At 40.9% G+C, this 15,373-nt stretch overlaps 1 protein-coding gene and 1 pseudogene across 2 annotated transcripts in view, besides 3 other annotated features; one reads left to right on the top strand and one right to left on the bottom strand.

The window, feature by feature from the left end:
- The window catches only part of SHQ1 (SHQ1, H/ACA ribonucleoprotein assembly factor), a 123,174-nt gene that overhangs the window by 72,088 nt on the left and 35,713 nt on the right, over positions 1-15,373 (top strand). The gene's annotated exons all lie outside the window — the stretch shown is intronic.
- On the bottom strand, positions 2,763-4,023 carry U2SURPP1 (U2SURP pseudogene 1; annotated as a pseudogene).
- Positions 5,953-6,524: an enhancer, noted in NCBI's record as "NANOG hESC enhancer chr3:72818985-72819556 (GRCh37/hg19 assembly coordinates)". NCBI's record gives its function as "activates a minimal SCP1, AML or CMV promoter by ChIP-STARR-seq in naive H9 embryonic stem cells {active_cell/tissue: H9 hESC(naive)}" and the evidence as "EXISTENCE:reporter gene assay evidence [ECO:0000049][PMID:30033119]".
- Positions 8,059-8,625: an enhancer, noted in NCBI's record as "OCT4-NANOG-H3K27ac hESC enhancer chr3:72816884-72817450 (GRCh37/hg19 assembly coordinates)". NCBI's record gives its function as "activates a minimal SCP1, AML or CMV promoter by ChIP-STARR-seq in primed H9 embryonic stem cells {active_cell/tissue: H9 hESC(primed)}" and the evidence as "EXISTENCE:reporter gene assay evidence [ECO:0000049][PMID:30033119]".
- Positions 8,968-9,793: an enhancer, noted in NCBI's record as "OCT4-NANOG-H3K4me1 hESC enhancer chr3:72815716-72816541 (GRCh37/hg19 assembly coordinates)". NCBI's record gives its function as "activates a minimal SCP1, AML or CMV promoter by ChIP-STARR-seq in naive and primed H9 embryonic stem cells {active_cell/tissue: H9 hESC(naive and primed)}" and the evidence as "EXISTENCE:reporter gene assay evidence [ECO:0000049][PMID:30033119]".

Below are 15,373 nucleotides of genomic sequence, written 5' to 3'. Positions count from 1 at the left end.
AGTTGTAACACAGTGGTATTTGTATATCTCAACATATCTAAATATGGAAAAGGTACAGTAAAATCAGAGTATTATACTCTTATGGGACCACCATATGTAGTTCATCATTGACCACAACGTTGTTATGTGGCACATTAATGTGTATAGAAATGTAATTCACTTTTAAAAATTGATTTCATATCCAGCTACGTTGTCAGACTCTACTATTAACTCTTATGTATCATTTCTGTCCAGTTTTCTATATAGGCAGTAGTAATGCAAGTAATGACAGTTTGGTTTCTTCCTTTTCAGTCTTTATATTCTTCATTTCTTTTTCTTTTTCATTTTATTGCACTGGCCTAGGCCCTTCAGTACAATCCCGAATAGATATGGTGGTAATATATTTATCTTATTCTTTATCTTTAAGAAAATGCTTTCAACATTTTATCATTAAATATGATATTTGCTTTTGTAGATAGGCTTTATCAAGAAAGATTCATGTTATTCTTATTTTGCATGGAGTTTTTTATTCTAAATAGTTTTGAATTTTATTGCATTTTTTCCTCATCCTTGGGATGATCTTAAAAATTTTTTCCTTTAATTTGTTAATGTAATGAATGGCATGTGTAAAATTTCGAACAAATTCGGCCTTGCATTCCTGGGATAAACCTATCTTGATTATGATGTATTATTTAAACATGATGCTGGATTTGGCTTGCAAACTCTGTGGGTGCCTACAATCAGGAAGAGGGTATGTATGGGAAGAGAAATTGGCCTATAATTTCCCATTATTGTACTGTCCTTTCCTGATAAAATGACTTAACATTGCCTTTTCTGTTCTCTGAAACAGTGCACGTAATATTGAAATGATACATTCCTTGAACCTTCAGTAGCATTCACCAAAAAAAAAAAAAAAAAAGCCATTGTGTCTTTCTTTCTTTATGGGAAAATTCTTAACTATTTATTCAGATTTTCTAATTGTTATAGGACTATTCCGGTTCTTTATTTCTCTGAGTCAGTTTTGATAGGTTTTATTTTTCTAAAACTTTGTCCATTTCTTCTAAATTTTCAAACTTTCTGGCATAGAGTTGTTTTTATTTGCTCTTATCTGTTTTATCCACAGCATCTGTAATTGTTGTCTTTTACATTTCTGATAATCATGCTGTCTCTCTCTTTGTTTTTTTGTTTTTAAATTATTTTTGTAAGAGGGTATATTTGATTAGCTAATTTTTAAAAAATTATTTTATTTTATTTTTTATTTTTGGAGACGGAGTCTCATTCTGGTGCCCAGGCTGGACTGCAGTGGCATGATCTCTGCTCACTGCAACCTCTGCTTCCCTGGTTCAAGCGATTCTCCTGTCTCAGCTTCCCGAGTAGCTGGGATTACAGGTGCCCACCACCATGCCCAGCTAATTTTTCTATTTTTAGTAGAGATGGGGTTTCACCATGATGGTCAGGCTGGTCTTGAACTCCTTATTTCAGGTGATCCACCTGCCTCAGCCTCCCAAAGTGCTGGGATTACAGGCATGAGCCACTGTGCCCAGCCCATTTCACGCTCTTGATCCTCTCTTTGTCTGTCTTCTATTTCATTACTTTTGCTTTTATCTGTATCATTTTATTTCTTCTACATTTTGGAAGTTTGTTAGATTCTGCATGTAGATGTTAGTAACTTGCTAACATTGACTCTTTCTTCATGTAAAACTAAATTTTCAAATATATGCTTTATATTCTTCTCACAGGTTTGGAAATGTACTGAATTTTCATTACTGTTTCATTCCACATATTTTCTGATTTTACTCATGAAATTTTGGAAATATTTTTCTCCTTTCCAAGCATATGGATTTTTATAGAAAAGTTTTTGTTGTTGATTTCTAACTTAATTGCATTTCTGCCAGAGAATTATATCATTGTTTAGAAATTTGTTGAGATTAATTTTATGTCTAGAATGGTGTCAGTTTTCATACACTTTTGGTTTTATTCTTAAAAGTAATGTTGATCTTCGAATTGTTAGCTGCTGTGTTGCATGTCTGTGCATTGGATGAAACTTGTTGGTTGGGCTGTTTGTTTTTTGTATCTTTACTGATATATTTTGTCTATTTAATCTGTCCGTTTTGAATTGAAAGAGGTGTGTGAAAATCTCCTATGTTGTCAGTCTTGTCAGTTTCTTCCTGTAGACCTGTCAGTTTTTACTTTATATTTTGAGGCATGTTATTTGGTGTTATTAGTTTATAATTGTTATATCTTCTTGGTAGGTTAAAATGTATCACTAATAATGCTTTTTGCCTTACCATCTATTTTGTCTGATAGTAATATGGCTATCCCAGCTTTCTTTTGATTAGTATTGGCCTGGAATATCTTCTTGTCCTCGGAGGATTTAATTTTTGTGAACATCTCTTCAATAAACCTTTGATGACTGGCTTCCAGTAAATTCAAACCTAACTACAAAAATCTTACATTTTGTATGTGTGAGAAATATGCTCTGAACATATGATGTAAAGCTGTGATGAATCAGTAATTTGGGAACCAGTTGTGACTTCAGATGTTTTTGGGTTTTTGGTCTTGTCGTTATGCAGGTTGACATGTTTGGGTTCTGTAAGTCATGTGTTTCTGTCTTTGATTCCCTACTCCACATTGACTCAGTCAGCAGATCTTTTTAATTCTTCCTATACAATCCCTTTCATATAAATCCCTCTTTTTGGTCTCACCACCTTTCTTTGAATTCAGGCCTTAATTTCCTCTTCTCTTGCCACAGTGTCCTCCCTGTTGTCCTTGCCACCACAGTCTCACTCCCCATCTTGTTTCTTTCCTATAGTAGTGCCAGTCTGACAGTTCTGAAATGCCATTTTGGATATGGCTGTCTTCGTGGAAGTTCTTTTTTTTCTTTTTTTTTTTTTTAAGCTGTCTTTATGAGGTCTTTCTGAACACTCTGATCACTCCGATTTTGGTGATGGGGATTTCACTCATCTACCACCACTGCTACTGTGAGATAGGCTGAGGGATGTACTGTGTCATCTTTTCCTTTCCTTCCTTGTTGGAGTATACTCATTTTTTTCCTTCTTGTCTTTGGAGCTAGATTCCAATTTTTCTTTATCTTTCTTGTCCCTTTCTCTTTCTTGTCTCTTTCTCATTCTCCTTCTAACTCTTTCTCTCGTTGAAGATGTTTATCTCTGTAGTGTTCTACTTGCTCCTGAAAACTCTGGACTGGTTTTTTATGTCTTTTTCCAAAATTCCAACTCATCCTGAAACTTCATGACTTTGAGCTCAATTTCACGAAGTTTGGCCTGTTTTTCCTCACTCATTTCCGAGTACTTAGAGAACATGGACTCAGTCATTTCTTCTTTGATTGGATTAGAGTACAGATGATGTTCTTCAGATTTGGAACTTTGAGTATCTTCTTCATCTTCACTTTCTTCTTCTTGATTTTGTTTTTCTTCCGATTCTTCATGCTGGTCAAATAACTCCCATTTAGAAGTTGTAACAGCCTGTGCTTCCAATTCAGATTTGTCCACAGCTTCCCATTTTGATGGGGCAACTTTAGATATAGGCTCATTCTTCTCTGAGTTTTCAGTTGCATCCAAAGGCACTCCATCAAGATCATCATCAGGACTTTTTATAGGGATTCCATGAAGATCATCCACGGGAGTAGCATCAATAGGAATTCCATCTACATCTTCCAGAGGTGCACCATCAAGCTCTTACTTGATGGAAGCACCATCAAGATTGTCTAGTACATCTTCTGTTTCCTTTTGTACAATAATATATGCAAGTCCTAAGAAAATGTTTTTTAGTTTAATCAAAAATGGTTCTGGATAAATTGCCCAATCTTCCCATGCTCTAAAGCTTAGGTTGTGTACGACTTGTCATATCACTGTCTGAGGGTCCAGATGCATCTGTATGTGCATTTGAAGATCCAGATGAGTGAACATCTGACAATCTCATCTTTGAACTGGTCTCCTCAGAAGTTCTTGATGGTTTGCCTGCAGGACAAAAGCCTAAATGCCTGGGCTGAGTTGGATTCCACACCGTCTGCATCTTTCTCCTCATCTTCTAAGCTTAATCCCTCATTCTTGCTGATCAGGCACCCTCCCTCTCCTGCCAAGTAGATGAACTCACTATTTCCCAAATTTGCCATAAACTGGAGCTTTTTTTTTTTTTCGCTTTGGCACATTCCATTTTCTCTACCATATTTGTTACATTTTGCTTTAAGCTTTTTCTGACGAACCCAACTAAATCATCTCTGCATTGTAAGGCTTAAAGTTAACACTGACATCACTCCTCTTGATGATGACTATCTGTAATGCAGCCAGTCACAGAACTGAAAAGTCTTGCAAACTCTTCTCTTTCGTAAGCCTTTATTTTGTGGATTAATTCCCCCTGCACTGTCGCTGCTGTGTGATTGCTTAGTCTTGGCATGGCTGACTCTGATACCCGCAAATTCACTTATAAATGAGAACCCTCCTACTCTTAAGCAGGCTAGAGGGCTTAAAAGTTGTCCTTTAAATCTGATTGAAATCTGCTTTCTTCACGTTAATTTCAATTCTGGACCCATATAGAGTAAGTTCTCTTTTCAAATGTCTGCCTTCAGCTATCTGGAGGATTACTATTGTATCCCTTCTCAGTCTTCCCGATCAACCTCTTCTGCCTTAAATTATTCTTATAGGTCCAAATTTCCAACCTTTGTCCATCTTGGTCTCTTTTTGGGCAGACTACTTTGTCAGTGTCCCTCAACCCCTCCCTTTATTTTTTGGTCCAGACCCTTTTAAAGTATCCTCCAGTTTAAATAAAATGCTTCAGGTTTGACCAGAGAGAAGCAATTGCTTTTGGTTTTTGTGAATATTACTTTGTCAGTCATCTGCTTATCACTGGAAACCTTAACTCACTATATTCTTAGTTTATGACTAGCTGAAATTCTTCATATTCGTCTTTAAGTATAATTCCTCTTCTTTGCTAGCTAGTTCACAATCTTTGCATTTGTCCCTGTTTAGTTTCACCTTGTTAGATTTGGCATATCCCATCCACCTGTTACTAACTTTTTGGAACTGGAATCTGTCACCTAGGTTATTTCCTGATCTTTGTCACCTTTGTAACACTGTTTATAAACTTGACTCTTGAAATCTAATGAGCAGTCATTTTTTGGAGCAAGCACAAGGTTAGGCGCTGTGGAACTAAAGAAGAATTAGATACGGCTTCTGGCCTTAAGGAATTAGAGTGAGCATTCTCTGTTTTCACCTAAGACAGTGAGTAGAATGTAAAATGAGGAAGGCTGAGGTCAGAACTTTGTACTCTTCCACTAGATACCTTCCTTCAGGTTGAAATCAGTCTGACCTCTAAGGTCAAATATGAGTCTAGACAACTGTATAATCATACACTCATACTCTGTATTTTGCCCATAAAGAGACTACAGGAGATTGTTATATGTTTTGTTAAAATCCAGACACAATCTTTGCACAGGGTTCCCAGGTGCGGGCTAGTCCAAGGGATGGCATCAGTTTGTGAATCCATAGTAACTTCTGGGGATCACCTACTTCGTCTCTTATCTGCCTATATGCAGTTCACATATTTTGAGTTCATGGTCTATGGTTTCATCACTTTCCTCCTTCTTTTCAAAAGTTAAGGAAGACACATTTGCCTCTTTCCTGTCTTCTATGTGGATATTCGAGGCTAGGTGTATTGTTCTGATTCCCTCTTCTTTTATTCTGTGATTAGCAGAACACCTTTGTCTTTAGTATTCATCTATATCACAGTTTTTGCCTTCTATAATACTAGATATCATCTTGTACTTTCTGGGCATTTTTCTTCTTTCCTTATCATTCTTAGTTTATTGAACAAACTGACAGCCCTTGGTGAAACTGGCAAAAGCAAACTCCTTCCTGGAACTTCTGAGATGTAGTCTGGCTCAAACCAGGCCCTGATCATTCTGTCATCTTAAGCCATGGTCCACAAAGCCAAATCCTGTTTCTGATTTGGGAAGGCTGAGGTCAGAAAGCTGTCCCCTGTCATTAGAAATGTAGTGAGGCCATAGAGTATTATGGTTAAGAGTATGGGCTCTGGAGCCAGCTGGCAGCTTCAGATCTCTTCTCTGTCTGTATGGCCTTGGACAAGCCATTTAAACTCTCTGTGCTTCTGCTATCCATAAAATGGGGGAGAATTAGGAAAATTAGATGAGCTAACACATGCAATTTGTTTAGAACATGTTAACACAGAGTAAGTGGTCAATAATATTTGCTAAGAACAAAGCTCCATTGATGCACTGCTTGTTTAACAATAGCATTGGCTGAATCAGGCAATCAGTCCATAACAATAATAGCTAGCATTTATCAAGGGCTTACTGCATACCAGGCATTGTGCTAAGTGCTTTATAGAGATTATCTCTCTTGATGATCTCACAAGCCCCATATGAATTTGGGTTATGTCCTCATTTTGTTATCACCCCAGGTTACAATTAGGGAAATTGAGGCTCAGAGAGATTAAGTTAACCCAGAGCTGTGTGACTTCAGAGCCTGAGCTCTTAACCTCCTTGCTGTGGTCAGTCAGTTGTTTGCCGACTTCAGAACACATGACCCCTGATAAACACAGGACATTTTCTTGGTGAAGTAGCCCATGTGGTCTCTGTTATGGAGCATTTAGACTGGTTGTAGAGACAAGACAAGATTTGCAGAGGGCAGAATTAGAGGACTGCTGAGCAAACCCTGGCCCCGTTGCAAGAGACATAGTGATTCAAAGAAGAGGAGGCCAGGCTGGTCTGCAAGGCCTAGTGGAGTAGAAGTCTTGAACAGGGAACTAAAGATGGGTGGGATCTGACCAGGCACAGAAAGAAAGGGGGAAGATGTGCTAGGCAGGGATGCAACTTGAGGCAAATCCCAAAGTAAAAATAATTGTTCTGGGTCTGGAAGCAGTGGTACCAGTCACATTAGTGTAGCAGGTACGTATTGAGATATACAGACTATGTTAGGGAACTGGGGAGATGGAACTAAGTCTGCAGACGTAGAAGTTGCAAGCTAGTGACCCTTGGGTCACTTTTGGCTCTCAGTGAGTTTTTAAAGACTTTAAATTGGTTGTCAACACTTAAAAATTGGAAGATTTTGTGTAAAAGTCTGGATTTATAGCTGCTCTTGAAATAACGGAAGTTCTGGCAGTTGCTGGGCCCACATCCCCACATGGTAACAATTGGCTAGAGCTGGGGCCAGCTGTCTCCATTATGTGGGACAAGTGCTCTCCATTCTGCCACAGACCCCCACCTGCCTGCTAGACTCCATCTGTTTGGCTTCTAGGGGCAGCAGTTTGTGGCCTTGGCCTAATGTATAAGGGCTCTGTTACTTGATCAAAGGACCTGCACTTTTTTCCTGCCAAACTGCAGGTCCCATTCAAGCAGGAGCCATGTTTTTCTTGTGCACTGCTGTATAGCTGGGTCCTAGCAAAATGCCCAGCAAATACTGGCCACTCAATAAATGTGGCACCTGGATGGCAGCAGTGACCGTATTATAGTGCAATCAATTTTGGAAGCTGCAGCGGGGTTCTAGAATGCTTAGGGAAAAACATACTGGGGGCACACAGCATTTGACCTGGTGGCTCATGTTGAACGCTGTTGTAAAGGCACACTATGGATGACCATTAAGCAGCAAATAGGCTGCTTATAAAGCAGAGAACAATCTGTGTTTGTGTCGAGGAAAAAACTGCTGGCCATGCAGTGCTCTGTTTCCAACTCCTCTCACTGACATGGATAGCAGCCCTGTTGTTGTTTTCTTCTTTGGACACGTACTAAACAATAGGAATAGAAAATGCATAAGTAAGGCTTATGGCACATACTTATTTGCCTCACTCAGCAGGACAACAGAATCACAAAGATCACAGCCACAGCTCTGCGCTCTGTGTGTTTTAGTAAAAACCTGTAAAACCGAGTTGCTTTCGACTAGGGATATGATCTTTCTTCCTAGATGCTGATGGCAGCTCTTCTCCGCGGTTTAGCCTGTGTTCTTGTTTTGTTTATTTATTTATTTCCCTTTCTTCTGCACTTGGTATTCCTCAGGCTCCATCTGAATGTGCCTTGCCATCGGGAGCACTAGGAAAGAAGAAAGTCAAACTGCCTCTCCCTCAGGCTCAGGCTTTGGAAAATCAAAGCTAGCAGAGGCAGCTCTTCTCTGCCTGCAGCAGGGTCAGCGATTTGTGTAATGTTTTCCCTGTCGGCTTATCTCTGCTGATTTCTTCTGTTTTTGAGCAAGGGAATGAAGAGTTGTATCATTGCTGCTGCCTTTTTAAGCAGGTGGGATCTGCAGCTGTGATCACAGCCAAGCTCTGTGCTCCCTGCTGACAGCATTCCCTGCTTTTTTGTAAACTGCTCCTTCTAGGGCTGGATTTGTCTCAGTGGAATGAAGTGGCTGCAAGAAAAAAAACCACCCAGACTCCCTGACAAGGAATGAAAGGAGCAAAGCACTTATATCTCCCGCCCCACGCAGGAAGCATTTTGATAGCATCGTTTGAATCAAACCATAATTAGGCTTTTGCATCCAGTTCTTGTAGGAACATGAAATGCTAGGCAGCCAACAGGTTTGGTTCTGGCAACCACCTAACCATGGAGGATTAAGTTGTACTGTGTATTCCTATATTTAGTAAAGTAGTATCTCAGAGACCCTTTTTCATTCTTATTTTTAGTAATCAGTAATTTTTGTAGATAGTAATTTGGGTCTGATTGGGACATGTTGGCAACTCTTCAGTTCTAATTATAGAAGAGTTTTTGCCAGTAAGTCTTGAGGACAGAGTGAACGTAGGATTTTAAAAAGGTATCCAGCAAATTAGTTGAGTCCTAATTGTTGAGGGTTGTGATCACTATAATAGAATATATGAGATTAATTGTAGCTCCCTACCTCGTAAAACTATTCTAGGAGACTTAATTTGCATAAACGTTTTGTCAAGGACTGGGCCCAGTGATATAGGACAGATTCTCCAGTGGTTCTGCTGGCAAATGTCATCTTCCAGCATCTTGTTCAACTTGTATGTCGGTAATCAACTCTTTAGTTACCCAGATGGTGTCCCTGCTTCAGAGCGTGAGCCAGCACAGCATAGTGCATAGTGGGTCTGCACATGAGGAGCTCTGGCTAATCAGGGATGAACCCTCTGGCATGGGGCAGGTTTTTGCTTCTGAACATTGGTGGAATATGGAGAATTCAACCTGCTTATGTTTCTGATGAAAGGATCAGATGGGTTCGTACATATGAAAGCAATTTGGAAGCCCTCAAGTCTGATGGCCGTGTGGAGGATTAGTGCTTGGGTTTGTGGCTAGCCCTGTGGTGTACCTATGCCGCTAAAGTCTCTAGGCTTCATCTTTGTCAAACAAATTAGGGCTTTAGATTAGATCTGTGTGGTCTGATTTGGTATTCATTGCCACATGTGGCTATTTTCATTTAAATTAGTTCAAATTAAATACAATTTAAGGTATAGTTCTTCAGTCAAGCTGACATTCTGAATGCCCGACAGCCACATGGGGTTAGTGGCCCATATTGGACAGCACGTTTCCATCATTATGTGAAGCCCGCTGGACAACCTGGACTCAGTTATCTAGCAGGTTTCCTCCAGCTGGGGATTGATTAGACTTCAATAAAATGGCTCATGAAGTCCTTAAAAGAGGCCTGTGCTTTCAGTTCCCCCCTCCCTTCACCGGCAGACCTGCACCAGGGGCTTGGATGTGCTGAAATCTTTCCTCCTTGTTTGCCTGGTGTCTGAGGCATGAGCCCTTCCTGTGATACCTTCTCCAGTGAGTTTCTTAGAAGAGGTAAGTTGTAGAATGACACATTCCTGAGCCCTCAAATAGTTTTATCTTGTTTACATAAAATTCTGACTTGGACAGAATTTTCCTTCTCTTTTATTAAACCTCTATGTCTTACTTTTCAAGAACAAGATGACCTGTGGTCATTTTCTGTGTACATGGGACAGCTTAGGTTCAGGGTCGGGCTCAGGCAGCAGTGGTGTAGTATGAACTTGGGCAGCAGATGAGGGTTTGGAGGTGCAGGTTGGCCCACAGAGGTGGATGGATGGTACAAGAACTATGGTTTAGAGATGGATACATGATCTGGAGACTAGCAATTAGCTATGTCAGAATCGGCATCCAGATGGCTTGTAGAACTGGGAGCAGGGGATTGTTGTGAGTGTCTTACACTAAGCTTGATAGACTGGAGGTTCAAGCTGAGAAGAGGTGGAATAGCTGAAAACAGGAATAAGCTAGGTCCCACAGTTTAGGCTGTTCAGTGATGTATAGGGTCCCCAAGGTCACCTTTCAGTGAGGCCTTCCCTAAATACTCACAAAAAATTGAACACCCCCTGGCCCAAGTGCACCCTGGCTACCTTTTGAGTTCTGTGTTGTTTTTTCATGGCACTTATATCATCTAGCACACTATATTTTACTTACTTTTTATGATCTGTTATTATTTTAGTATTTATTATCTTTTCTTACACAAGAATATAAGCTCCATGAGCACAGGAATTGGTCTGTTTTGTTCGGGGCTTGAACACATAGTACTTTCAAGTATTTATTTGGCCAGGCACAGTGGCTCATGCCTGTAATCCTAGAACTTTGGGAGGCCAAGGCAGGCAGATCACCTGAGGTCAGGAGTTCGAGACCAACCTGGCCAACATGGCGAAACCCCGTCTCTACTAAAATACAAAAATTAGCTGGGTGTAGTGGCACGTGCCTGTAATCCCAGCCACTCAGGAGGCTGGGGCACAAGAACTGCTTGAATCTGGGAGGCGGAGGTTGCAGTGAGCCGAGATTGCACCACTGCACGCCAGCCTGGGTGACAGAGTGAGACTGTCTCAAAAAAAAAAAAAAAATATATATATATATATATATATATATATGTCATGTGAATCTGGGAGGCAGAGGTTGCAGTGTGCTGAGATCGTGCCACTGCATTCCAGCCTGGGCGACAGAAGGAAACTGTCTTTAAAAAAAAAAAAAAATGAATCAGTGAAAAATGCAGCCCTGATGCACTGTTTCAGTGCAGTCTGGAGGTAGAGCTACTCTTGGGAGGCTAGTGCCATAGAAGGAAGTAACAGGTAGAGGTCTGAGGAGACAGGCAAGTGGTGGCATCTGAATGGACAGAAATGGGTTCAGGGGCAGGCATGTGGACCGTAACTTCAGGCAAGGTCCCTGTGAAAGTTGAAGATCTTGTACAAGAAGGCAGCTAATGGGCAGAAAGCCCAGCTTTGCAGAGTCAGGGTTTTGAGATAAAATGTTTCTGAGTCTGGGCCTCAGGACCAGTCTGACCTAGAAGGGGGGCTAAGGAAAGAACTCTTGAGCAATGGAACCATTAGAGTAGGGCCCCATGCATCTTTTTACTTAAAGCCAAGATTGGTGAGTAAATGCAAGGTGGAGATTCATCCTCATGCTCTGGGTGTAAGAGGGATGGGACAGAGTCAGGCTGCCCTGTACACAATGTGTGAAGTCAGCAATGCCTCACCACAACAGTTGACCCAGGAACAGGGGGAACCTCCCACCATTCCCATCCCACTGTTTGATCAGATCCAAGAATCCACAATATTGAGAGTGAATGAAAAGTGTCAGCTGGTAATGATGACTTCAACATAGTCAGAACTCTTTGGGGTGTTCCAAACATCATGGTGCATATGTATTACCTGGGAGTCTTGTTAAAAAGACTCCTGTTCAGAGACCTGGGTTGGGGGCTGAGATTCTGCATTTCTAAGAAGTTCCAAGATGATGCTGCTGCTCCTGGTCCAGGGTTATGCTTTCAGAAGCAAGGCTTTATCAAAGAAAGAAACTAAATATTAGCCATTGAAGTCAATTGCCTTTATTAAAAGTATTTTAAAATTCTCCTTAGATAGTCTAGGGGCTGTCATTTAAGGGTATTCTGGTAGACAGATGCTTTTCACTTCGGTTTAGTTTTTGAGAGTATAAGCAAGCATAAAATACACTTTCCCAAGTTTGATTTTCTATAGACGACCACTTGTCAGAACTGTTGTCAAGTCTGGCTTTCAGATCCCATGTTTCCTGAGGCAGTCGTTGAATACTTCAAACCTTAGTAGTCTGGGCACCGTGGCTCATGCAAATAATCTAGCACTCTGGAAGGCCAAGGCGGGAGGATCGCTTGAGCCTAGGAGTTCTAGGCTGCCATCAGCTGTGATTGCGCCACTGCACTCCACCTCTTCTACTTGTAAGTAAGTGGTTCTGCCTAGTGTGGTATGTGGGCACTGGGTAGGGTTTGTAACAGGGGTACATTGTGATCATAGTGTAAAAGCATAGCATTTTGGGCTTGGAGGGGAATTAGAAACAAACTAATCTATTCCCCTCATGTTATTACGCAAAGAAAACTTTTCTGTGCCTTGCTGTTGCTATTTTTAGTGGTGTCTTTTTTTTTTTTCCATTTGTAAACTCAGGAACATACTATGCAATGCTTTCTAATTTCTGTTCTGCTGTAAGGATCTTCATCACTGATGTTCTTCTATATTCATTTCCTAAGGCTGCTGTAACAAATTACCACAGACTGGGTGGCTTAAAACCACAGACCTTTATTCCTTGCATTCCTAGAGGCTAGAATTCCAAAATCAAGGTGTCATTTGGGTTGGTTCCTCCTGTGAACTCTGCAGGAGAATCTGTTCCGTGCCTCTCTGCTGGCTTCAGCAGTGCTGGCAACCCTAGACATCCCCTGGCATATGAACACATCACACCAATCTCTGCCTCTGTCTTCACATGGCATTCTCTGTGTCCCTGTGTCTTTACATTGTGTTTTTTATAAGGACACCAGTTGGTGGACTGAGGTCCTTCCCTAATCCGGTGTGACCTAATCTTGATTACATCTGCAAAGACCCTGTTTCCAAAACAGGTGACATTCACAGCTTCCAGGGCTTAGGACATCAACACATCTTTGTCAGGGACACAGTTCAACCCATAGTATCTTCCTTCTACCACCAACTTTATAGTGATACCTTCTCCATTTAGTTGGCTGACCTCCACTTAGTTGAATTGAATCCAAACAGCCGTTTCATTTGGACAGTTAACAGGTCAAAATCTACATCATTAAACAACACTATTTGCCCTTTTTTCACACAGATGAAATGTAGGAATGTTGTCAGAATTGTTCAAGTCTTATGTGCCCAAATACCATGCTTCATGGAATAGTCATAGAGAAGAAAATGGATTGGAGAGCTCTGCTTCAGCCTGCGACTTGCAGTCCCCATTTCTTCTGTCCTTTCCTATCCTACAAAGGTGTTTTTTACTTAACCAGATAATTGGTTTCATTAATAATTTATTCTCTGCCTTGTACTAGAAATTATTTAAAGCATTTCTCTCTCTCTCTCTCTCTCTCTCTGTGTGTGTGTGTGTGTGTGTGTGTGTGTGTGTGTGTGTGTAAAACAAGATGGCATAATAAAGGTGAAGGTAAAAGAAGAAAATTAAAAGTAGAAACAGGCCGGGCTTGGTGGCTCATCCCAGCACTTTGGGAGGCTGAGGCAGATGGATCACCGGAGGTAAGGGGTTCAAGAGCAGCCTGGCCAACATGGTGAAACCCTGTCTCTACTAAAAATACAAAAATTAGCCAGGCGTGGTGGTGCGTGCCTGTAATCCCCATTATTCGGGAGGCTGAGGCAGGAGAATTGCTCTAACCTAGGAGGCAGAGGTTGCAGTGAGCCAAGATTACGCCACTGCACTCCAGCCTGGGTGACAGAGCGAGACTCTGTCTCAAGAAAAAAAACTGGAGGCAAGAAGGAGCTGCAGGTACATTCTGTCATGTTGAGTGAGTCACAGATTTGAATTCACCAGCAGCCCGTATGGAACGGGAGACCTTGCGAGGTACACAATTCAAGTGAGGTATACAATTCCAAGAGGTTCATGGGACTGTTATTTAAATCAGCTTTTGGGATCACAGCGAAGCACATTTCAGCAATAGCATTTCTGCTAGGGAGTAGAGAGAAATGTGGCAAATTTATGAGACCCACATTTCCATCTCTGTGAATTTGATCTGGCCTGGCAAAAATGTAAAACAGTTGCAAAGCTGGGGTGAACTGCATTTCTTTCACACAGTTCTTTATGGACATTGTACCTTTCTTAACCTATTTGTCACCCTCACCCTTGAATTTCTTAAGTGGAGGTTGGGGTTGAGCCAAATGGTGGCTTCTCTGCATTTGGATAAACCTTATGAGAGCCATTCTTTTCAGCATTTAGCGTTGCCATAGCGAGTGTTTTTTTCTAAGTCATTTATTTTTCTCAAAAAATGGATGTGTGTGTATGTGTGTACTAATGTGTGTGGGCAGATGTATGTATAGGCATGTGTGTGCACATGTATGTATGTACATGTTTGTGGGCACATGTATGTATGTACATGTTTATGTGCAGACTGTCCTCAAAAAAACTGCTGGAGCTAGAGCCTGTCTCCTTGCCTTTAGCTCCCCTGCTTTCACCCCTTCTGTGCGAGAGTCATTCTGATGGAGGACTTTTTAAACATGTAGCCCACCTGTTTATCGTTTGACGATTAAAGTAAATGACTCTCTATATAATTGTGAACCAGGGGAAACTGTATGTGAGTTCACACATAATTAACATAAAAAGTAAGAAGTGTTCTACTTGAGGTCTTTAGAGTTGTCTTTCTGTGATAATATGACATCTTTGGTCCTCCATGGCTCAAAGAAGGTGCCACATTATTTTCTTATTTTACCAGTAGGGATAATAATAGTACCTATCTCACAGGGTTGCTGTAAGTACTTCATGAGTTTACCATGTGAAATACTTAGAAAGCCTGCACAGAGTTACTGCACAGGAAGTGCAAGCCTTTTGTATTAACGGATACTGTCAAGGAACCTTTGTCCTTTTGCATAGCATCCAAGAGGTGGTTGAGTCTTTATTATTGCTGTTTGCCATAGTGATTTGACTATATTATTCAAATACATCTAAAAATTTTATTCCTTGGCCCGGCGCAGTAGCTTATGCCTATAATCTCAGCTCTTTGGGAGGCTGGGGCAGGAGGGTCGCTTGAGCCCAGGAGTTTGAGACAAGCCTGGACAATGTAGCAAGACGCTGTCACTACAAAAAATTTATAAATTAGCCAGGCGTGGTGGTGTGTGCTTCTAATCCTGGCTACTTGGTAGGCTGAAGTGGGAGGATTGCTTGAACACAGTAGGTTGAGGCTGCAGTGAGCTGTGATTGAGCCACTGCACTCCAGCCTGGGCGATGGAACAAGACTCCATCTCTAAAAGAATAAAAAAAATTTTAAAAATAAGTAAAAATAAAAATTTTATTTCCCCCACCTTCTTGGGATCTGTAGTCTGTGTCAGATATATATTAATGCGTTCATGAATATTTGTATTCTCTACTAAAGCACTAAGGACTAGAGCTCATAAACTTTTTTGAAAAGTGGCATAGTTGTTGAATCGTTGGAATCGTCTTGAGAGCTTT

Source organism: Homo sapiens, chromosome 3 (assembly GCF_000001405.40).
Source record: "Homo sapiens chromosome 3, GRCh38.p14 Primary Assembly".
NCBI classification, from domain to species: domain Eukaryota; kingdom Metazoa; phylum Chordata; class Mammalia; order Primates; family Hominidae; genus Homo; species Homo sapiens.
This window is presented reverse-complemented; position numbering and strand designations above follow the sequence as displayed.